The sequence below is a fragment of the Homo sapiens genome, chromosome 3 (genome assembly GCF_000001405.40).
Source record: "Homo sapiens chromosome 3, GRCh38.p14 Primary Assembly".
In the NCBI taxonomy this organism is placed as follows: Eukaryota; Metazoa; Chordata; class Mammalia; order Primates; family Hominidae; genus Homo; species Homo sapiens.
In genome coordinates this window covers 57,010,308-57,034,762 of record NC_000003.12, presented here as the reverse complement: position 1 = coordinate 57,034,762, position 24,455 = coordinate 57,010,308, and the positions used below count along the sequence as shown (strand labels likewise).

The following is a 24,455-nucleotide window of genomic DNA, read 5'->3' as shown; positions in this document are numbered from 1 at the left end:
ATTGTTTGAGTCCAGCTGGTTGAGGTTGCAGTGAGCCATGATCACACCATTATACTCTAGCCTGGGTGACAGAGTGAGACCTTGTCAAAAAAAAAAAAAAAAAAAAGAATTTGGAGTTAGCAAAATTTCACATATTTTCTTCCACATCTCTAATTTCTTACTAGAGATGTTTCTTTCACGTCTCTGCCAGAGGAGGAATGCCATTCAGTATGATGGGATTTTTCTAAGACTTAGAAGGAAGAGTTGGTATAAGTAGGACCAATGTGATATAGAATTAAATATTTTATTCCAAACTATGGACATTCATTCCAAAACACTATGCCCCATGCTTGGATGTGTTGTGCCAGCATTTGTGAGTGGCCAGTCCCCCAAGAGGAGGCAAAGGCAGACCCTGAGCTCTTGGCAGCTCCGTCTTCTCTTTGACTCACCATTTCTTCCTCTTTCTTATGCCTTTTTTTTTTTTAAGCCATTTGTGGTAGTGTGTGCCTGTAATCCCAGCTCCTCAGGAGGCTGAGGCAAGAGGATTGCCTCAGCCTAGGAGTTTAAGGCTGAAGTGCACTACAATTGCACTTGTGAATAGCCACTGCACTCCAGCCTGGGCAACACAGCAAGACTCCCATCTCTAAAATAAATAAGTACATTAGATAATTAAAAACTTTTAGTGTAATGTCAATAATTAAAATTAATTTAATTTAATTTATTTATTTACTTTTCTTTGAGACAGAGTTTTTGCTCTGTTGCCCAGGCTAGAGTGCAATGGTGCAATCTCAGCTCACTGCAACCTCCACCTCCTGGGTTCAAACGATTCTCCTGCCTCAGCCTCCTGAGTAGCTGGGATTACAGGTGTCCGCCACCACACATGGCTAATTTTTGTATTTTTAGTAGAGATGAAGTTTCACTATGTTGGCCAGGCTGGTTTCGAACTCTTGACCTCAGGTGATCTACCTACCTCAGCCTCCCAAAGTGCTGGGATTACAGGCATGAGCCACCGCGCCCAGCCTAAAATTAATTTTATTTATAAATAAATAAATAGATTTTCCTTGTTAAAAATACAAATGAAATCCCCATTGACTCCCATTTTCATTCCCAGCTCCTACCTCATCCCTGCCCTTCCCAGAAGTAACCACTGGGATCTACCTTGTACATTTTCTTCCATAACTTTGTTAGTTATCTAGATACGTAGAACAAAAGTCACTCTTTCCTTTCTTCCTTTTTTTCTTTCTGTTTTTAAATATGTACTGTTATACTATGCTTGTTAGCCTATTTTGTAGCCCTTTTATAAATTCAATAATATGTCCTAAAATGTTTTCAAGACATATGTGAATCTACATTTTTTTTTTTTTTTTACTGCAGCCAAGTGAATAGTATATCCACAGTACGAGGATCCAGCTGTTTATTGGGCCATTTCCCTGATGGTGGTGGTTAGCTTTGTTCTGTTTGTTGCCCTTATGGTAGTGCTGTGATGTGCTTTCTGGTATGTTCCACCTGAGCACATGGGCAAGAATTCTCTAGGGAGGTTGCCGCGGATTAGAGTTGCTGGGTCATCCTGTGTATGCCTGTAAGGTCTGAAACATCACCAGTTCATCCTCCAAAGGGCACTGCTTATCACCTGGGCACCAGATCTCCTATTTGCTCACCATCTTGCCATGCCTCAGATCTTTAGCTTTTTAATTTTGCTAGTCTTTTGGGTGAATGATTGTGTCTTTCTGTGGTTGTAGTTTCCTCTGCCTCCTCTGAACTCTGAGGTTGTTCATCTTCTTAGGACTCTGTTGCCTAGCTTCATCTCCTGATGGTGCCATAAGCCTCTGTCCCCACAGGGACCCATCCACCTATCCAGAGTCCCAGGGCCCCAGGGCATCTGGGGAGCCTGGCCCTTCCCAGGAGTGGTTGCTACGTTGTTTTCTCTTCTGAGAAGCATCCAAGGAGTATACTTATACTCCCCCAGGAGAGTCCAGCCCGGGATCATCTGCTTCTCCTTCTAACCCTAGGGGCTTCAAAGAGCCCTCAGCTGGATTTCCCTACTTTTATATCCACCACTACCATCACTGATGCCATCAGCATTGGCAACAGTTTGAGAATTTACTATGTCAGCCTCTGCGTGGATCACTTGGCCTGTTTATCTCATTTAATTCTCACAGTGGTCCTCTAAGGTAGGAAGTTGTGTTGTTTCTCCCCATTTTGTGGCCATTAGGTAACAGACAGAAACGTATTCAAAACCAACCCAAAGAGTAAAAGGAAACCAGCAAAACTTTGCTCACCATGGATCCCTGGTTTCTACCCAGTGCTCTCACTTGGAGTAACAAACAGACCCACATTTGTTGAGTGCTGAGTTCTGTTTAATGAGCATGGCTTTGGGGCCATCACGCCCATGTTTGCAGTTGCTTTGACCACACTCAGTTGTTATTCAGAATCTGTGGTATTTCCAGGGGAGAGCAGAGTTGAAAGTGATGGCTTTGTCCCTGTCCAGCATATGAACAGGGGCTCCTGCATATCACCAGTACCACTGTTCTTGGGTACCGTTAGGGATGGCAGCCTCACCCATGCCCATCCAAAATGTTTCTCTGCAAAGGGGTTTTACAAGTTGAGCATATTTGTCATGGGGATTACATATACTTCCTTATGGGGAGTGCATAAACTGAGCTGTGCAGGGAGAGGAAGTACTTCACTTGCCCTCCCCTAATCAGTCAACCTACCCTAAAATGTTTGACTTTAGGTCTTATTCTAAGATCAAGAAATTGCAGACAGAGTGCAATTTCAAATGCCTTTCTCAGCCCCCATCTTTTAGTATATATTTCAGAGACATAAAAATTTAGAGCCAGAAGAAATCATAGATTCATTGTGTTTAACTCTGCATTACAGTTTTAAGCAAACAGACCTAGAGTGATGAAATGATTGCCAAGTTCATGCTCCCACATCTCCAGGGTCTGGCTCTGGCTCTTTCCACAGCATCACAGCTACCTCTTGTGCAATTATTAGGAGACTGATCCTTTCTTCTTCCAAAACTGCCTCACGTGATCCATCCACCTCAGCCTCCCAAAGTACTGATTCAGCGGGTACTATCTTGCAGAAAACTAGCCCATTGAACGATTAATTGATTGTTCATTTGGTGGGCATTGATTGAATACTATTGTATGCACAAGTGACAAAAAGATGGGTAAGATATGAATTCTTAGGGAATTTGGAGTCTGGCATCTGTGGGGGAGAGGTAGTTGCACACATCTGAGCGGTGGTTAAGTGGAAACCCATGAATCTATGCTGGTCAGTGGGGATAATAATAGTATCTCCCACAGTGGGTCATTGGGGATGTTCTGAGTTAATCATTGGAAAGCTCCTGGCATATAGTCAGTACCCAGTAAAGACGGCATTTTTTGTTTTTGTTTGCTTATTTTTAGTCGCATATAGAGTGAAGAACCTAGAAAGACTTTTCTGTCAGGAGAATGATAGACTTATGTTTCAGAAATGGTAATCAGTAAACACAATTTCTCATCTTAGATGTATTTATCTTTTTAGTGTCTCTTTCACCTATTGGACTGCAAACCTCATGGGGCTACGTCTCACCTCTTGTGTTCACCATTATTACACAGTTTACCTCATTACTGTGTGCTTGGCACACAGTAGGTACTTACTAATATTTCTAGACCAATGAGTAAAAGGGGTGGAGTAACAAGATAGGGTGGACCTAGGATCCTTGAGATGAGGTGCTGAGACAAAGCCGACCAGCTGGAAGGACCACAGATCAGCCTGGGCCAACCCCACTTCCTCAAGGACTGGGGCTCCCTGGAATCCCTGCCCACAGGCCGTGCTTCCGTTTGTGAGATGCAGTTTTGTTACTGTGATTTATGGGCAGTTTGTCTTTTAACCAAATGACTTTATTGTGAGGAGGACTATTTGCATAGCATTTATTGACTGAGCAGTAATTTCTTGCTGCTTCTATTTCTGGATGCCAACTTACACTTTAGGGGCCCAAGAGTATAGGATTTCTAGAAGATAAATACCCTGGAGAGTGCAGTTTTCTGTGGTCATCAGTGACTGCAGACAGATAGTGCATTTCTATGCCTCAGTTTCCTCAGCTGTGTGGCAACAGAAGCAGAATTTCTGAACAGTTTCCTCAGGTGCAAAGGAGAGAATTTTGAGGGGGAAAAGTCCTTGTCTTTCTTGTAAATTCTTCCTATGAATGGACCTGTGGTGAAATGGTTGGATAGTAAGGACTTCACTTATGCTGGAGAAATGGGAAGATTTAATTTAGGTCATTTATTCATTCATTCATTTGGTCAGTCAGTCAACAAACATCCCATTACTCAGTGGCCCTCAGCACTTTGGGAAAATGCTCAAACAAGGGATTAGGCATTCCCTGCAGAGTCTTCCAGGCACGGATTATATACATATATGTCTCTTTTTCCAAAACAAAAATCTCCCCTGGCTTGCTCACCTCTTCCGTATGTGTTGAGCACCTCCTCCTTGCCGGTTCTGCTAGGCTTTACTCTCCTGGAGGGAAGGGCCTTGTCTGGTGCAGTGATGCCTGACATCCGGCCCAGGCCCTCCCCGTGTGTGGCTCTGGTGGACTGAATTGGCTAGAAGACAGAGTGATTTGTAGATGGCAACATGAAGGACTTGACCCAGAATTGCAATTTGCCCCAGCGCTGCAGGCAGTTTTCATGCTGCAGGGTTAGGCTGGTTTGTATAGTGCTCGAAGCCCTCCCCATTAGACGTGGTGGTTTCGCTGCTTGCTCTTAGCTGCTCTCTTCTCCTTGATCCACTTATCAGCTCCCATCTTGGCATTAGGCCAGGGCTGTTTTGGTCACTGATTTTTAGTAGCTTTGTTCACTGTCCAAAAGGCTGTTTGGGACCTGCTCTGCTTCCCCCACCCTCCAGAGGTTTAGCTGCTGACCTTGAGAAGCCAGAAACCCAACATAAGGGAGAGCAAGAGCCCGAGGTTTGCAAACTCCTCTGACCTTGGGCTCTGTGACCCTGGGCAAGGCGACATCTCTCTAAGGTGTCTTCTTGGAGATCCCATCAGCATTCCCACAGTCTGCTACTTAGAATATGGTTTCCTCCTTACATGATTAGGTATGGCAGGAAAAAGTGGGGTTTGTTGTCAAATTTGTTTGGCCAGTGCTGGCTTAACCTCAGTTAAATGGGGACCTTTTTGCAGACCTCATCAGAGCCTATAAAGTGTCACTGTGCATGCAGAGGTCTCTTAAGGGAGGGCAGCTCCCTACATCTGCTACTGTAGAGATCACCCCAGGGATGTGCTGGATTGGGTCTTTGAGCCTTCACCCAGTCCTTCAACTATGTGATCAGGACAATGAGGTAAGTAGATTTTTTTTTTTTTTGAGACGGAGTTTCGCTCTTGTTGTCCAAGCTGGAGTGTAGTGGCATGATCTCTGCTCACTGCAACCTCCGCTCCTGGGTTCAAGTGATTCTCCTGCCTCAGCCTACTGAGTAGCTGTGATTACAGGCATGTGCCACCACGACCAGCTAATTTTGTATTTTTAGTAGAGACGGGGTTTCTCCATGTTGGTCAGGCTGGTCTTAAACTCCCGACCTCAGGTGATCTGCCTGCCTCGGCCTCCCAAAGTAGTGGGATTGCAGGCGTGAGCCACCACGCCCGGCCCAAGTAGATGTTATTTACAGATGAGGAACTGAGGCTTATGGAGGTGAAGGGCTTGGCTGCAGTCCTGTAGCCAATGAGTGGAAGAGTTAAGCCCCAGATCTGGTCCCTCAACCTCAGGTCCTATTTTGGGAGGTGTGTGTGTGTGTGTGTGTGTGTGTGTGTGTGTGTCTTCACCATTATCTGCCCTTGTAATGGCCAAAGGCATGGATTGGAAAACATCTTGGAAGATTTGCTGCAAAGTCACTAAAAAAGCTCCTTGGTCTCCAGTGAGCATGGCTAATCCTCTACACAGCAAATTATAATGCCTGCTTATTTGGGGCACCTCCTGAGGGGCTTTTTATATACATTGGCTCCAAACATCGTCGCAACCCAGTGAACAACACATATTGTTCACCCCGTTTTACAGATGAGGAAAAAGGGTTCTTTTTTTTTTATTTATTTATTTATTTTTTTTTTATTATACTTTAAGTTTTAGGGTACATGTGCACATTGTGCAGGTTAGTTACATATGTATACATGTGCCATGCTGGTGCGCTGCACCCACTAACTTGTCATCTAGCATTAGGTATATCTCCCAATGCTATCCCTCCCCCCTCCCCCCACCCCACCACAGTCCCCAGAGTGTGATATTCCCCTTCCTGTGTCCATGTGATCTCATTGTTCAATTCCCACCTATGAGTGAGAATATGCGGTGTTTGGTTTTTTGTTCTTGCGATAGTTTACTGAGAATGATGGTTTCCAATTTCATCCATGTCCCTACAAAGGACATGAACTCATCATTTTTTATGGCTGCATAGTATTCCATGGTGTATATGTGCCACATTTTCTTAATCCAGTCTATCATTGTTGGACATTTGGGTTGGTTCCAAGTCTTTGCTATTGTGAATAATGCTGCAATAAACATACGTGTGCATGTGTCTTTATAGCAGCATGATTTATAGTCCTTTGGGTATATACCCAGTAACGGGTTGGCTGGGTCAAATGGTATTTCTAGTTCTAGATCCCTGAGGAATCGCCACACTGACTTCCACAATGGTTGAACTAGTTTACAGTCCCACCAACAGTGTAAAAGTGTTCCTATTTCTCCACATCCTCTCCAGCACCTGTTGTTTCCTGACTTTTTAATGATTGCCATTCTAACTGATGTGAGATGATATCTCATAGTGGTTTTGATTTGCATTTCTCTGATGGCCAGTGATGATGAGGGAAAAAGGGTTCTAAAGTACCTGCTCCAATGTCACAGGTAATTCTAGGGCTTAGGCTTAAACCTGTACCTTTGATTTTTTTTTTGAGACAGAGTCTCGCTCTGTTGCCCAGGCTGGAGTGCAATGGCGTGATCTCGGCTCACTGCAACCTCCACCTCCCAGGTTCAAGCGATTCTCCTGCCTCAGCCTCCTGAGTAGCTGGGATTACAGGTGTGCGTCACCACATCTGGCTAATTTTTTTTTGTATTTTTAGTAGAAAAAGGGTTTCACCACGTTGGCCAGGCTGATCTTGAACTCCTGGCCTCACGTGATCCACCCACCTCAGCCTCCCAAAGTGCTGGGATTACAGGTGTGAGCCAGTGTGCCCAGCCTAAACCTGCACCTTTGACGCTCCCAGAGAAAGCTCTCAGCCTTCTCACCACCCCACCTGTTCTTGTCTGTCTGGGTCCTCCTACTTGCTCCCTGCAGACCAGAGCACAGAGCCCCTCTGCAGAATGGGAGCAATTTCTGTGGCTGCTCCAAGAGTGGGAGTGGGCTTCATCCCAGGCAGTCCACTGAGGTGTGGAAGGGTGGGCATTGGGAGCCAATCAGCATGTTCCTAATGCCAGGCAGTCACCTTCTCATAGGGTGGCGCCAGTGACAAGGGGAACTGCCAGGAGGGTGTTAGGGGAGGAAGTGAGTACCCTGGCCCAGTTGTTGAAGTTTCCCAAGTCTCAGTTTGCCCATCTGTGAAAGGTGGATAACAGTGGTACTTAGTTTGTAGAGTTATGCAAGGATTCAGTGTGGTAAGAAATGCTTAGCTCTGTCACTGGGCATCTGGCCAATGTCTAGCACGTGGCATTAGTCTCTTATCAGTTCAAAAATCATTCTCCCACCAACTGCAGAGTCAAGGAGGAGGTCTCAGAATGCATGCCCTCTACTTCTCTGTGACAATTTCTAACATAGGGTGATCACATTAAAAAATGCATTCTGCAGTTATTTGAGTACCTACTATGTACTAATCACTCTTTCGGGCATGCTGGGCTACAGTCAGACATGGACCTTGCCTTCAAGCAGCTTACAGTCTAGATGAGGAGACGAATATAGTGATAGGAGACAATAAAGGCTTAAGGGCCTGGCAGTGTCTGGCACCTAGTGCACAATCGAGAAGTGTTTAAAGACACACACACCAGGTGGCCTCTGATGGGCACAGCACTCAGGTGGCACCATGTAGCACAACAGGCAGGAAAAGAATGTCTCTGAGGGGTTTTGCCTCTGGCCCACACTCATCTGGTGAAGAGGATGCTCCCCCGGCCCTGTCCAGGTAGGGTAGATGGTGGCACCTAAAACAGCCACTGTCCTTATGTGGTACCCTCACTGGGTGGAGACCATGTACATCATGTCGGTCTCCCTCCTGGGAAATCTGATAGAAAATTCCTGCCAGGTGAGAGTGTGACGCTTTCTCTGGAGGGCAATCAACTTTTTCAACCCTAGGAGTTAAGCACTGGGCTTAGAGAGCTGTGCAAGCGTGGGGTGGGAGGCATCCAAACCTCTTTTATTTTAAGAGACAGAGTCTCGCTCTGTCATCCAGGCTGGAGTGCAGTGGTGTGATCATGAATCACTGCAGCCTCAACCTCTTGGGCTCAAGTGATCCTTCTACCTCAGCCTCCTGAGTAGCTGGGACTACAGGCTTGCACCACCACACCTGGCTAATTTAAAAATTTTTTTGTATAGATGGACTCTCACTATGTTGTCCAGGCTGGTCTCAAACTCCTGAGCTCAAGTGATCCTTCTGCCTTGGCCTCCTAAAGAGCTGGAATTATAGGTGTGAACCACTGCGTCCTGCCTCCATCATTGTTAAGGTATCTTATGGGCTCACTAGGCTCATAAGGTACAGGTTATTGAGATATCTTAAGTGTTGGTTTTGTCTGGGGTATTCTGCTAGGGTGTGAATGGGGGGAGTCTTGAGAATTTTGTTCCCTAGGTGAGAAAAGAGCATGGGAACTTGAGTTAAGCCTTTCCCCAGGAGTGCTTCTGGGGCTTGAGCTGAAGGTGGCTTTTGTCCCACCTGTGTGCAGAGCCCAAGTAGGAGGAATCGTCTTCTCTAATGATGAGTATCTATCGAGGCTGTGTGCCAGGCACTGTGCTGGGCTCATGGATACATTGGTGAGTAGGACAGGCAGGGGCCCTGATTACAATCTAATAGAGTCCGTGCCCTGGAGGACTTTGCAGTCTGGCATAGGTTTTTCAGGGGCAGAGGACTCAAGAGGGAGCAAAAACAAGGGTGATGGAAAGGAGCCCTGAATGGCTGGAGGGAGGCCTAGGTTCACGTCTGGCTTTAGGACAGGGTTAGGGTAAGGGTTAGGGCAAATGAGTTTCTGAGGGGAAAAAGCTCAGACTTGTAGCATTTGCCTACTTCTGTAAATACTCCCACCATGGCCAACTTCAACATGCTAACACAGAGTCACTGAGATGTGTGCAATCACTCTTCCCAGTGTGTGCCAACTTCAGCAACCCACTGCATTAGGGCTAGAGTCTAGCCACTCCTCTGAGTGCAGTTTCCTCATCTCTGAAGTGAGCGGGTGGGACTAGGTCACATGAAATTCCTTGGTAAATCGTGGATCATTGTGTCATTGTAAAGATGGTGATGGTTTTTCACAGCTCTGAAGTTTTATGACTAATACTGTCTCCTAACTCTTCTTCAGGATCCAGAGTCCCTCCATTGCTCCGAAACCCCTTTTCCTTTCCCTACTCATCTCGGCCCATTCCTGGCTAAAGCACTGTATTTGATAATTTCATCTCTTTAGTCTCCTTCGATCCAGAACAGATCCCTCCTTTATTTTTGCCCTCCATGGCACTAGCGTTTTGAAGAGTCAGATCCACGTTCTGTGTTTGTCTAGGTGTGTCTTTGCGGTGCCATTTACCTTGGTCCTCCAGTTCCATGAACTTCAAGTGAAGCCTCAAGGGTGGAGTCCAGGTGCAGCATTTGCAGTGAGAGGCCCTCGTGGGTGACATCACTCCAACGTCAGGATAACCCATGCTGGTGTTGCTCAGTTGACACGCTGGTGAAGGCATTAGCCTGCATTTGTTTTGTTTTAGATCAGATTGAGATATTATATTGACCATAATTCTAACAACTATTAACAAGGATAAGCATTTGTAATAAAAAACTGCTCTTGGCCGGGCGCGGTGGCTCACGCCTGTAATCCCAGCACTTTGGGAGGCCGAGGCGGGCGGATCATGAGGTCAGGAGATCGAGACCATCCTGGCTGACGTGGTGAAACCCCGTCTCTACTAAAAATACAAAAAATTAGCCGGGTGTGGTGGCGGGTGCCTGTAGTCCCAGCTACTTGGGAGGCTGAGGCAGGAGAATGGCGTGAACCCGGGAGGCAGCGCTTGCAGTGAGCCGAGATCGCACCACTGCACTCCAGCCTGGGCGACAGAGCGAGATTCCGTCTCAAAAAAAGAAAAAAACAAAATTGCTCTTACCCTACACAAAGTGGATTTTTTTTTGTTTTATTACAGAAATAAGCCATATACAGGTATAGCTCTGATTTTTTTTTTTAAGATTGTCAAGTAAAATTGAATCTGTTTGCTATTGGCCTTCCAGGTATGGTGGCTAAGGGAGATATTTCAGAGGCAGCCCCCTACTTTTTTTTTTTTTTTAATATCTTTCCTTCTTTTTGATAGATCCAGGTCAAATTGGAGTAGAGTGTTCTTGATGTAGGAAGCTTCAATATTCTGTTTATAACATTAGGCAGGAAAGAAGATTTCTGCAAGGTTAGAATGTCATGGTGGAATGGGCACTTTGGGGAGTGGTGGGTTCCCGAGTGCTGTGTGTATGCAAGTGTAAGCATGTACCTGTGTGTTGCTGTTTTCTCAAGGGAGTATGAAGGGTGCATTGGGGTGCCCAAAGCAGCATCAGATGTGACACAAAGAAACCAACCCCATGCCAATTTGGAGAAGGCATGATTTAAATTAAAGTCAAGGAAGTCTATCTCGAGTGTCTACTCAGTGCCGGGGGCGTTGTTCTGGGTGCTGTGAATGGCACAGGCCGACTCTTGTGAATCTTATAGTACAGGAGCACACAGACCTAAACAAGCTATTCCCAGGGCAGTGAGCATGTGACAGGGAAGTGTGAGGATCTGTAGTCCCTTTGGGGTGGACCTAACATTCCCCGTGGGAAGTAGCAGACAGAAAATGGAAGCATCTGTGAGGGATAGCCAGGTAAAGAGCAAACCATGTGGAAGGGGCAGTGTGTGCCAAGGTCCGGACTCCACAGAGATGTGATGTGCCGGAAGCAAAGACAGCATCTCAGTGAGACTGGATCATGTCATATGGCAGGGGCCTGGGAGTCCTCTGGGCTGGGAACACTGGGTCCTCTTGGCCTTGGTAGTAAAGAGCTTAGACTCTGTCCTAAGGGTCCCAAGAGGCCACTGAAGTGTTTTAAATGGCTTCTTAAATCTGATTAAATCTGCATTTTGAGAAAAGATCTCTGGCTAGAGTGGGAAAAAGATTTGGAGGGAAGCAAAACTCAGGGCTAAGTAACCAGCTGGGGGTATTGTAGCCATCCAGGAGAGAGATGATGGAGGTCATAAATACCTGTTGAGAATAAGTGAGTGGATAGCTTGGATAACCAATGGAGAGAGGTGAACTCATGAAAAATATTCGGTGGTAGAATTGAGAGTGGATCTGGGGACTGAACAAATCCATCCATCCACCTATAAAACTAACATCTGTTGAGCCCCTTCTGTGCATCTGGGACTGTGTTTGGGATAGGGATACTGCAGTGAATGAAGCGGATGTGGTGGTCCCTGCCCTGATGGAGCTTACCTTCTGGTGAGAGAGACAGACCATAAACAGATGTGTGAAGTGGCATTAGCTGGTGGTGTATGCTGTGAGGAAAGATAGAGTATGTGATAGGGTGAGCATAAGCAGGTGGAGTTTTACATAGAGACACAGGGAGAGCTTTTTTGAGAGAATAACATTCAACATAGACCTGAATGTTGAGAGAGCAAGCCCTGCAGCCTTCTTGAGGAAAATCATGGCAGGCATCAGGGACAGCATGTGCTAAGGCCCAGGGGCTTAGCTTGGACAAAGAATGGCATTCAGGTCAGTACAGATGTGGGTGATGAGACGGTCATACGTGTGGATCAGCCTGATCAGCCTGCTACTGCGAGTCATGTCTTGAAAGATAGGTCCTCTCTTCCTTTGTTGGCAAAAAACAGGGTCCTCCTAGGCTTCCCCAGGTGACTGGACAGGGCAGTCTCGGGAGATTGGTTCCCAGTCAACAGAGATGGTTGAGCCTAGGCAAAATAAGTGCCTGGTTGGTAGTGTCTATGTTTGGGTACAGCTGTGAGTTTCAAGCATGCCACCAACATTCACACAAGTAGAGAAGAGGAAATGTGGCAGAGCACAAGAAGGAATGTTTTTCTGGAATAATCATTTATGTTAGCTGGATCACCAGCATGTATTCATGCTTCTTTTTTTTTGTATATAGGAAAGCTATTGATTAATAACTTTTTTTTTTGAGACAAAAATGACATTCAGATCAGTACAGATGTGGGTGATGAGATGGTCACACGTGTGGATCAGTCTGATCAGCCCTGCTATTGCGAGTCATGTCTTGAAAGATGGGTCCTCTCTTCCTTTGTTGGCAAAGACAGGGACCTCCTGGGCTTCCCCAGGTGACTGGACAGGGCAGTGTCTGTTACCCAGGCTGGAGTGCAGTGAGGTGATCATAGCTCACTGCAGCCTCAAACTCCTGAGCTCAAGCAATCCCCCTGACTCAGCCTCTAGAGTAGCTAGGACTACAGACACATGCCACCGTGCCCGGCTAAATTTTTAAAATTTTTTTGTAGAAACAAGGTCTCATTGGGTTACCCAGGCTGATCTTGAACTCCTGGACTCAAGCAGTCCTCCTGTCTCAGCCTCTCAAAGCGCTGGGATTGCAGGCTTGAGCCACCATGTCCAGCCAACTTCTTTTATTCATGTTGATTAATATTATCTAGTTTTCCTGTTTGCTCTAATAGTTTTGCAGATCTTATTTTATTATTACTATATTTTTGTAGGGAGGGATTTTTCCAGACATATAATTGTATCATCTGCAAATTAATACAATTTTGTTTTCCCTTCCTTTCTAGTCAGTATGACTTTTTTTGTCTTCTAATTGGATTGGTAAATGCTTCCTGAATAAATTTTTTTTTTTTTTTTGAGATGGCGTCTTCCTCTGTCGCCAGGCTGGAGTGCAGTGGCATGATCTCAGCTCACTGCAACCTCTGCCTCCCGGGCTCAAGTGATTCCCCTGCCTCAGCCTCCCAAGTAGCTGGGGTTACAGGCACGCACCACCATGCCTGGCTAATTTTTTGTATTTTAGTAGAGATGGGGTTTCACCATGTTGGCCAAGATGGTCTCAATCTGACCTCATGATCTGCCTGCCTCGGCCTCCCAAAGTGCTGGGATTACAGGTGTGAGCCACCGCGCCTGGCCGCTTCCTGAATAATGTTAACTAGCGGTGGTATGTAGAGTTCCTCTTGCTTTGTACCCACTTCAGTGGGAGTGCGCTAATGTTTCCCTAGGAGATGTGATGCAGGCTTTCAGTTTGAGCTTTATATCTCTTAAGGAAGTTTCATTCCATTCTTGTTTTGTTAAAAGTTTCTTTTTTCAATCAGGAATATATGTTGGAATTCAACAAGATTGGCATCTAAGGAGACATCTGTTTTTGTTTTTTCTTTTGACTCTGTAATGAGATGAATTATATTGATAGATTTCCTAATGTTGACCCATCCTTTCATTCCTGGGGTGAACCACAGGTGTCTATGTTTGGTTACAGCTGTGCTTTTCAAGCATGGAGCTACTTTCTGTCATTTAAATTAGTACTCCATGAAGATGTACTTGGTTTATCCTGTGGCTTAGAGTAATACTGACAGGATAGCTTTCCTTCTGTTTGAGGCATTGAAGCTAGAGGAAATGAACAAACCATTCATCCATTAGACCAACTTACATTTATTGAATGCTTATTATCTGCAAAATGCTGCTGGGTGTACAGCCACCAGTATCCCTTATAACTAAGAGACTTAGGATTCTATGCAGTGGTTCTGCTAGGAAATGTTATTGCAAGTGACAGAAATGCAGTTCATTCAGGATCAAGCTCCATAGGGAATGTAATGGCCCACAGGAATGGAAGGTCCGACAGTAGATAGCCTCAGGCATGGTGGGATCCAGGGGCTCAGTGTCGATTAGGCCTTGCTGTCACTCTGCCCTTCTCTTGGCTCTGCTTTCTTCTGTGTTGAAATCATTCTCAGGAACGTTTCCTCCCTGTGATACCACCAACTCCAGGCTGGCATTTGACTCCAGCTATGGAGTGAAAGCTTATTCCCACTTGTTCCAGCAGAGCTTCCCGAGTGAACTCAGATTTGTTCACAACGTGGGCTTCGTGCTCTCTCCTGGAACTCTGGAACTCGGGGGTGGAGGATGGAGTCAGCCTCATCTGAACCCATGGATGGAGAGTGAGGGAGGGGTGGTCCCCCAATGGGAAGGCCAGGTGCTGTCACCCACACACAGGGAATTGGATGCTGGGTGGCAGACACCCCAGATGTTCATGCCATCTGGGCCAGCGATCCCCTTTGTGGTCTTCACTGTCCTTTTTCACAAGTGAGAGGGGAGGTGGCAGGGAGCCATGATTCCTGACTCAGCCCCAGGACCCTGCAAATCAGTGACAGCATCAGGATTTTAAGTCCCTACCTGAAGTTTCAGGCTTTATTTGCTCCACTAAATTAGGCATGAAAACCTGAAATCCCAGCCCTTGGGAAGGCCAAGGCAGGTAGATCACTTGAGGTCAGGAGTTTGAGACCAGCCTGACTAACATGGTGAAACTCCGTTTCTACTAAAAATACAAAATTAGCTGGGCGAGGTGGCGCTCGCCTGTAGTCCCAGCTACTTGGGAGGCTGAGGCAGGAGAATCACTTGAACCTGGGAGGTGGAGTTTGCAGTGAGCCGAGATTGCACCATTGTACTCCAGCCTGGGCAACAAGAGTGAAACTCTGTCTCGTTCATAAATCAATCAATCATGAAAATAGATGGAAATAGAGAGTTAAGGCATCATCCGTGCACCTTGAGGGTTGATTATTAAAGAAAAGATTTCCCCAAGCTCACCCTTACCCCCAGCCTCTCAGCCACATATAATAATCCTTCTTGTCAATTCCTTATTGTTCCCTTTTCATAATGAACTTAGAAGGTAGATGCCTTTAAAAAGGTGTCTTGGATGGGATGTTACATACTTAATATAGAGCCTTTATAGTAGCAAAGTTTTAATTTGACAAAATCTTGCCTGATCTGATGTGGCATCTCTTCAAATAGTATTTTTTATTTTAATTTGATTGAGGTGTAAATATATCTGACACACATGCCAACTTAAGGGACAAGCTTTTCTGCATATGTTTACACCTCCTGGGATCAGGTGTAGCACTTGTTCAAGCACTCTGCCCCCATTCCAGCTCCTTTCGAGCCCCCTTTCTTTCCCTCCCCTCCTCATCTCCTCCCTAGGAACACACCGAGGCTGAGAAAGACTGTGACTTTCTTGCCATTGCCTACCTGGGTGCACACACTTGGGTCCAGGGAAAAAATAAGAAACCTGATCCTGAAGAATTGTGCCGGGAAGGGAGGTGGGAAGCGTCCATCCATGGAGGAGAAATGGCCACCTACAGAGCCCTCTGGGAGTGCCCTGGTCTACCTGAGACTCAGGAAGTCCCCCTTGCTCTCTTGTTCCTCTTTTATAAATAAAGAAACCAAGGTCTAGAGAGATAAGTGATTTGTCACAGTTCACCCATCCAGTGATGTAGGCTGGAGGCCAGGAGGATGGTCCTGGTTTATGGGCCAGCTACCCACTGTGGTCCTTGCTACCCAATGAATCCAGGTGGCTTAACATTGGACTCGGTCATTCTCATCCCTCATTTCATGATACTGTTAATTTTTTTTTTTCTGGAAAATCTTGAAATTCTGCGAGAGATGGCATATATAATGGAAAGAATACAGATGCTGGAATCTGACATTCTTGGCTTCAAATTCCTTCTTTGTTTTATGACCTTGGGCAAGGATGTTAACTTCCCTGAAGCTCGATGTCTTCATCTGTAAAAGGAATAATATTAGCACCAACCTCATATTATTGGTTGTGGGGATTAATGAGATGATACATGTCACATGCTCAGCACACTACCTGGCAGATACTGTCTTTAAATGGGAAAAGCCAGGTTGTGACTTTTTTGGTGTGGGGAAGGTGAGACACGACATAAACGTAAAGCATCACAACCTCCCCCAAATGTGAACACTTTAGCATAACTTTAATCATTATAAATTAGTTTATTAATTAATGATAGCATGGTATATTTAAGAACACAGCTCTGGAGCCAGACTGCTCTGGTTCAAATCCTGACTGTACCACTGGCCAGATGTGTGACCTTTTGGAAGTTACTTAAGCTCTCTTTGCTCTGCTTTCCTTGCATGTAAAATGAGGCTAATTATAGGACCTACCTTATAGAGTAGTTCTGAGGATGAAATGAGATAATGCAAACAACACCCTTCCTTAGCCCAGTGCCTTAGTTGATGTGCAGAAAATGTGACATTATTATTACTAACAAATTGATCTATATTCCTTTTTGGCCTTTAAAGTTTTTTTTTTTTTTTTTTTTGTGACAGAGCCTTGCTCTGTCACCCAGGCTGGTGTGCAGGGGTGCCATCTCAGCTCACTGCAGCCTCAGCCTCCCAGGTTCAAGTGATTCTCCTGCCTCAGCCTGCTGAGTAGCTGGGACTACAGGCATATGCCACCACGCCCAGCTAATTTTTCTATTTTTAGTAGAAATGGGGTTTCACCATGTTGGCCAGGCTGGTCTCAAACTCCTGACCTCAACTGATCCACCTGCCTTGGGCTCCCAAAGTGTTGGGATTACAGCGTGAGCCACTGCACCTGGCTTTTAAGCATCTTGAATGAAGTTTTGCCTTGGTTTTCACAGCGTAACTACTGCATGTGCTCTTTGCACTTCACTGAAAGTTTTTTTCCAAGCTCGTTTCTCTTCCTATTCATGTTAGCACTGGGAGCTGGGAGAGAAGACTAACCATTTCCCAGCATCAGGCAGCATCCTTTGGATGTTGTAGAAAGAGGCTGGTTAGCTCTTGGAGAAGCGTGAATGGGCCACTCTCCTGGGTCCAGCCTTTTGTCCACTGGGGACAATGTGTGGCTTTCACAGTGACTCATCCTTGGGCAGCCGTGACGACATCGTGGGAAAGGAGGAACAGAGTTCAATCCAACGTGTGCCAAGGGGGCATCTCTGTCCTTGCAGACGTGGAGCTGGTGGGGGCAGGGAAGGGTTTGTTTCTTCAAGGACCAAGGAGTCAACCCAACTAGCAGAGGGTCAAGTTGAGCAACTGAAAGGATGTGAGAAAACAAAAAGTGCTGGCTTGGTGGGCTCGGCCTTTTTATTTTGAAAAACGCTCCTTTTAGCTCTCAATTGGCCCCTTGAGCTGCAGGGAGCAGTGCCAGTTAACCCACATTTAATTAGAAACTGGGTTAGTGGACATTCTCTTTCTTCCCAGAGCATGTCCTGGGTATTGGAACCTTTCCAGGGACTGGTACAGTAACAGCCATTTACATGGCCCTGGCTTTCTGGGCGCTGGAATCAGCCTTGGGTGAATATACATCCCTACCCTTCCCCCAACCTCTGCTGACTCTCTCCTGATGGAATTTGCCAACTCCACGCATAGAATGCAGACTTTCCCTGGATTTGTCTAAGCCTCAGTCTCCTTGGTTTACCTCTGCTGTTTAGGAAACACTTAATCCTCACCTTTGAGTTTTTATTTTGCTCTTTAGTGGTGACATTGTGTGCATTTCCTTTTGTTTGGTGACTCGTGTGTGTGTGTGTGTGTGTGTGTGTGTGTGTGAGAGAGAGAGAGAGAGAGAGAGAGAGACAGAGAGAAAGCTTTCCTCTCTCTCCCCCACCAGGCCTCACTGTGTCTTGTTTCGGGGACTGAGACCCGGCAGACAGTGACACAGTGACTTCCTTGTCTTCTTGGTTCCCACCAGCTGATGGGCAAGGTCATTTTCAAAGTCCTGACACCTGCTTATCATAACCGCCAGCTGCACTCCACAAAGAAGACCCCTCCCCCACACCAGGGAAAAGGGGATATAAGAATAGACCTGGGGGGGACCAAGAGCAAGAGAGTGAAGGACACTGTGCACCAACTCAGAGGTGTGGGTGGGCATTTGGATTGACAACTGTGCTTAGCACCAGCTGATGTAAATTTTCCATCCTAACGGTAGCTATTTTGAAAAACTCTCCACACATTCGAGAAGTCTTTAAAATAATAAAACATTTGCATGGACATTATGTGATTTGATCTCCTTTTTGTCATTCTTTTTTCTTTTTGAGACGGAGTTTCGCTCTGTTGCCCAGGCTGGAGTGCGGTGGTGCGATCTCAGCTCTCTGGATCCTCCGCCTCCCGGGTTTAAGCAATTCTCTGCCTCAGCCTCCCGAGTAGCTGAGATTATAGGCGCCCACCATCACGCCCAGCTAATTTTTTTTTTTTGTATTTTTAGTAGAGACAGGGTTTCACTATCTTGACCAGGCTGATATTGAACCCCTGACCTCATGATCCTCCCACCGAGGCCTCCCAAAGTGCTGGGATTACTGCGCCTGGCCGTTTTTGTCATTCTTGCAAGCAGCATTACCTTTTAGAAAGCAGTTTCAGTCCACCTGCCTGCGTCTTACCACTTGGATGTGCTGTGATGTCTGAGGCTCTGTATCACGAAATACATAAATTGGATTGGAAGGTGGATTTCAGTAGAGGTCACAAATGGCAGAAAGATAGTTGTGTGATAGTTGTGCATGTTCTTTTCCTTGTGTGGGTGTGAGTGCCACTAGGGTCCTGTAGGGGCATGGTCTGCTCTGTGAACTTCCTGCTGGATATGAGGACGCACCCAGGTGGACCCCTGCCTCTGTGGTCTCTGTCTGCAAGATTCGGCCATCTGGGGATTGGAGATCCAAGAGTTCATCATTGCCAGTGCTGCTTGGGAATTGGTGGGAACAAGACTTGTCTCACCACTGAACATGCTGTGGTCTTGAAAATGTAACAAGGGTGGCGAAGTGTCTAGGGCTTTAGATACAGGTAGATCCATTTTGAGGGTCTGAAACTTATATAATTTGGGGGACCTTTTCAAGAAAAAGAATTTTAAGGCCAGGTGCAGTGGCTCACGCCTATAATCCCAGCACTTTAAGAGGCAGAGGCAAGAGGATCACTTGAGCCCAGGCGTTTGAGACCAGCCTGGGCAACATAACTAGACTTCGTTTGTACTAAAAAAAAAAAAAAAAAAAAATTAGCAGGGCGTGGTGGTGTCCGCCTGCAGTCCTACCTACCCAGGAGGCTGAGGCGGGAGGATAGCTTGAGCCCAGAATGTTGAGGTTACAGTGAGCCATGATCCTGCAACTGCACTCCAGCCTGGGCAACAGAGAAAAAATAAAAAGAATTTTTAAATATCCCTTTCCGAATTTTACAAAATTGTAAGAGCACATACACCTTTCTAAGGAGGGTCCTGTGAAGTGAGGGGCCCCTAAGCTTCAGTTTCATTGGTTTCCTAGAATATCCATTTTGGGCTGTAGCAAAACAAGTAGAGACATGTTGTGAGGGAAGGTTTAGAGGTAGGAGAGTAAGAAGTTTATCTCTAGGTCAGATTAGAAACGGGGTATAGTGTTACCATGTGTCTGCAGGTGGCTACTTAACTCAGTTGTAGCCAAAAGCAGTCCTAGTCATTTACATAAGTGAATGAGCGTGGCTGTATACCAGTAAAACGTTATGTAAACTGGCAGACGGCTGGATTTGGCCCTCAGGCCCTAGTCTGCCAACCTCTGGTTTAGACAATTAATAATTTCAGGTTGTTGGCAGACTTTTGCTAAAAAAAAAAAAAAAGTACATGAAAAAAGTTAACAAGCTTTGGCCGGGCACAGTGGCTCACGCCTGTAGTCCCAGCACTTTGGGAGGCCGAGGCGGGAGGATCACGAGGTCAGGAGATCGAGACCATCCTGGCTAACACGGTGAAACCCCGTGACTAGTAAAAATACAAAAAAATAAATTAGCCAAGTGCAGTGGCGGGCGCCTGTAGTCCCAGCTACTCAGGAGGCTGAGGCAGGACAATGGCCTGAGCCTGGGAGGTGGAGCTTGTGGTGAGCTGACATCACGCCACTGCACTCCAGCCTGGGTGACACAGCGAGACTCTGTCTCAAAAAAAAAAAAAAGTTAACAAGCTTTATAAATATTTGCTTTTGTAATTTTACTTTCTATGTTAACTGTTAATCTGTTTATTGTAAAAAAACTGAAAAGTTTAGAAAACTATAAAGAAATATAGTTTTCTAATTCTGCTGATCATTAAATACTGTTAATCAGTGAGTATTGTGAGAAATTTCCTTCTTGCATTGGTACGCATATGCACAGTAAATATTTTAATAGAATTATACCACATATTTGGCTCGATTTCCTGCTTTCTTCTGGAATATGGGAGTCCAGGTTGTGATGAACAGGGGTGGTGATGGAAGGGGCGTGGTTTGGAAGGAAGGTGCTGTAGTGGTTAAGGCTGTGCACTATTGTGTCCAGAATCGGTGTGTTCTTGATCTCACTGACTTCAAGAATGAAGCCGCGGACCCTCACAGTGAGTGTTACAGTTCTTAAAGATGGTGTGTCCGGAGTTTGTTCCTTCGGATATTCAGACGTGTTTGGAGTTTTTTCCTTCTGGTGGGTTCGTGGTCTTGCTGGCTTCAAGAGTGAAGCTGCAAACCTTCCCGCTGAGTGTTACAGCTCTTAAGGGGTCACGTCTGGAGTTGTTCGTTCCTCCTGGCGGGTTCGTGGTCTCGCTGGCTTTAAGAGTGAAGCTCCAGACCTTCGCGGTGAGTGTTACAGCTCATAAAGGCAGTGCAGATCCAAAGAGTGAGCAGCAGCAAGATTTATTGCAAAGAGCAGAGGAACAAAACTTCCCCAGAGTGGAAATTGACCCAAAGAGTTGCCGCTGCTGGCTCCGGCAGCCTGCTTTTATTCCCTTATCTGGCCCCACCCACATCCTGCTGATTGGTCCATTTTACAGAGAGCTGATTGGTCCATTTTACAGAGAGCTGATTGGTCCGTTTTGACAGGGTGCTGATTGGTATGTTTACAATCCCTGAGCTAGACACCAAGTGCTGATTGGTGCATTTACAATCTTTTAGCTAGACACAAAAGTTCTCCAAGTCTCCACTAGATTAGCTAGACACAGAGCACTGATTGGTGCATTTACAAACCTTGAGCTAGACACAGGGTGCTGATTGGTGCATTTACAATCCTCCAGCTAGACACAAAAGTTCTCCAAGTCCCCACCAGATTAGCTAGCCACGGAGAACTGATTGGTGCATTTATAAACCTTTAGCTAGACACAGAATGCTGATTGGTGCATTTACAATCCTCTAGCTAGACATAAAAGTTCTCCAAGTCACCACCAGATTAGCTAGATACAGAGTGCTGATTGGTGCATCCACAAACCCCAAGCTAGACACAAAGTGCTGATTGGTGCATATACAATCCTCCAGCTAGACATAAAAAGTTCTCCAAGCCCCTACTGGACTCAGGAGCCCAGCTGGCTTCGCCTAGTGGATCCCATGCCAGGGCCGGGGGCTGAGCTGCCTACCAGTCCCACACCGCATGCCTGTACTCCTCAGCCCTTGGGCCGTCGATGGGATGGGCACCATGGAGCAGGGGGCAGTGCCTGTCTGGGAGGCTCTGGCGACACAGGAGCCCACCGCCAGGGCGGGGGGCTCAGGCATGGCGGGCTGGAGGTCCCAAGCCCTGCCCAGCGGGGAGGCAGCTGAGGCCCAGCGAGAATTCGAGTGTGGCGCAGGCAGGCCGGCCGGCAGTGCTGGGGGATCCGGTGCACCCTCCGCAGCCTGGCCCGGGTGCTAAGCCCCTCACTGCCCAGGGCCAGCAGGAGTGCAGGGCCTGCCAAGCCCGCACCCACCCGGAATTCACGCTGGCCTGCGAGCCCGTGCGCAGCCCCGGTTCCTGCCCATGCTTCTCCCTCCACATCCCTCTGCAAGCAGAGGGAGCCAGCTTCACCTCGGCCAGCCCAGAGATGGGTTCCCACAGTGCAGCGGTGGGCTGAAGGGCTCCTCAAGTGTGGCCAGAGTGGGCGCCAAGGCTGAGGAGGCACCAAGAGCGAGCAACGGCTGCCAGCACACTGTCACCTCTCACTATGGCATCAGAATCCTGGGTGCAAAACCTAGTTCTGGCTGAACTGTGAGACCTTGAGTAAGTGACTTTAGTTCACTTGTCAAATGGTGATAATCATTCTACCCACCTTCTATGTCAGTTGTGAGGATTAAATTGATAAACTACAAAGAGTGGCCACGTGCAGTGGCTCACGCCTGTAATCCCAGCACTTTGGGAGGCCAAGGTGGGAAGATCACTTGAGGTCAGCAGTTCGAGACCAACTTGACCAACATTGTGAAACCCCGTCGCTACTAAAAATACAAAAATTAGCTAGGTGTCATGGCGGGCACCAGTAATCCCAGCTGCTCCGGAGGCTGAGGCAAGAGAATCACTTAAACCCGGGAGGTGGAGGTTGCAGTGAGCCAAGAGCACACCACTGCATTCCCTGGGCAACAGAGAGAGACCCTGTCTCAAAACAACAACAACAGCAACAACAATAACAAAAGAGGGCTTAGTTCACGACCAGGTACAGATTTAAGTGCTGAATGAATGTTGGCCATTCTTAATATTGTTATTGTGATTGCATTGTTGTAATAATGGTAGTGGCTCTTGGGTTTTGAGGCAGGTCACGAGGCCATCTCCTGTAGACCCCATTTCATACTCAACCTCAGTCTTCTTGGCACAGCTCGTTGGGAGCAGCCCCTCAAGTTCCCTCAGAAGGCACATGTCCCTCTTGAGTATCCTATGAGGGAGTCTGAATCCTCAGCAAGGACCACCCAGGACCCAGGGCCAGTCAGTGCTGACCATTCTTCCACCTAACCAGACCCCACCGCTTCTCCTCACCACCACCTTCTTCCTTCCTCATAGTGCAAATCAGAGGCCCTGCGAGCACTGGGAAGCAGTGAAGATGGAGTGAGGCCTGCAGTGATAAAATACTTTCAAAAGCCAGGTCTCATGAATCCTCAGCATAGCTGTAAGGGATTGGGAGTGATTATCTCCTTGTACAGATGAGGAGACCAAAGTTTCAGGTCACACAGCAGGTAAATAAGTGATAGTATTAGGACACCTTTCTTTCTGGTGTCAAATCCATACCTGCTGCCTTTGCTCTGGTTTAGATTAGGATTTCTCAACCTTGACACTATTGAATCCTTGGGTTGGAGAATTCTTTGCTGTGGGTGGCGGGGGAAGGTGGGGGGCTGTCCTGTGCATTGGAGGATGTTCAGCAGCATCCCTGGCCTCTCCCCACTAGATTCCAGTAGCACCCACCTCACCCCACTCCCTTGTAACAAAAGAAAATATCTCCAGACATTGCCATATGTCCTGTGGAAAGGCAAAAGAGGAGACGTATATATTTGAATGTGGGCAGTGGGGATTGAGAGCAACTCTATCCAACTTGGATTGCTGTCATCAGTGTGCCCCGTGGGAAATCTTTAGGGAGTTCACCGCTAGGGCAGAAAAAAGGTGAAATCGTTGTTTTAGATCATGTGCTTAGCACCATCATGTTCCTGTAAGTTCCAGGCGGTTTAACTTTGCCTCCTTGTGCCAAAAACGTCTTTGTTTTCATCAACTGTGCTTCTGTTTCTTCATTAGGCTGCATTCCGGTCCCAGTTTCACCTTCCCTCCGATTTTCCCTCGCCGGTTGCATGTTCATCATAGCTCCTACACGCAGGGGTGCTCCCACTAACTATGGAAGCGGGCGGGAGCATTTCCCCTCATACTAAAGTCTACTTTGGGTCTGCTTTGCAATTTCCTTTTGGTCTCCCTCCTGGAGATTCCTGTGCCACCTGTTAACACCCTTTTGTGTTTGGCTCATTTCTTTCTTCAAATTTTGCTGCTTTTAATCTTTCTTTCTAAGCTTAGTGGAGTGTGTGTAAATTAGGAGTGAGCAGACGATGAACAAGGGTCCAAATGTCTCTTCCTTGGGGTAAAGTGTATTTTGTAAAACAGCCCAAGTCTATTTTTCAAGATTAGTCTCCCCATGATTCAGGCCTTTCCATGAACACTGGGGTCCTTGGTTCTCCATGGTGGGCTCCTTGGGAGTCAGGGCTCTGAGGAGGCAGACACTTTGACTGTGAACAGTGGAGTTTTACACACCTAAAGTTGGCATGTCAGGTACAGGTTATAGATAGTCAAAATTAATCTTCAAAATGCATAAATCCTCCAAACCATGCATAGTTTTGTATGTACAACCCTGTAAAATAACCTGTATATGTAGATGTCAATGTACATAGTTGTCACATATAGAGGAGTGCACATGTAAATAAATTCCACTGTGGGTTTTTTTTTTTTTTTTTTTGAGATGGAGTCTCGTTCTGTCACCCAGGCTGGAGTGCAGTGGTGCGATCTCGGCTCACTGCAAGCTCTGCCTCCTGGGTTCACGCCATTCTCCTGCCTCAGCCTCCCAAGTAGCTGGGACTACAGGCACCCGCCACCACGCCCGGCTA

The 24,455-nt window shown here is 46.6% G+C and overlaps 1 protein-coding gene across 12 annotated transcripts in view, besides 1 other annotated feature; it reads left to right on the top strand.

Moving 5' to 3' along the window:
* The window catches only part of ARHGEF3 (Rho guanine nucleotide exchange factor 3), a 351,849-nt gene that overhangs the window by 44,506 nt on the left and 282,888 nt on the right, over window positions 1–24,455 (top strand). The window lies entirely within an intron of this gene.
* Window positions 18,951–19,716: an enhancer, noted in NCBI's record as "H3K27ac hESC enhancer chr3:57049075-57049840 (GRCh37/hg19 assembly coordinates)". NCBI's record gives its function as "activates a minimal SCP1, AML or CMV promoter by ChIP-STARR-seq in primed H9 embryonic stem cells {active_cell/tissue: H9 hESC(primed)}" and the evidence as "EXISTENCE:reporter gene assay evidence [ECO:0000049][PMID:30033119]".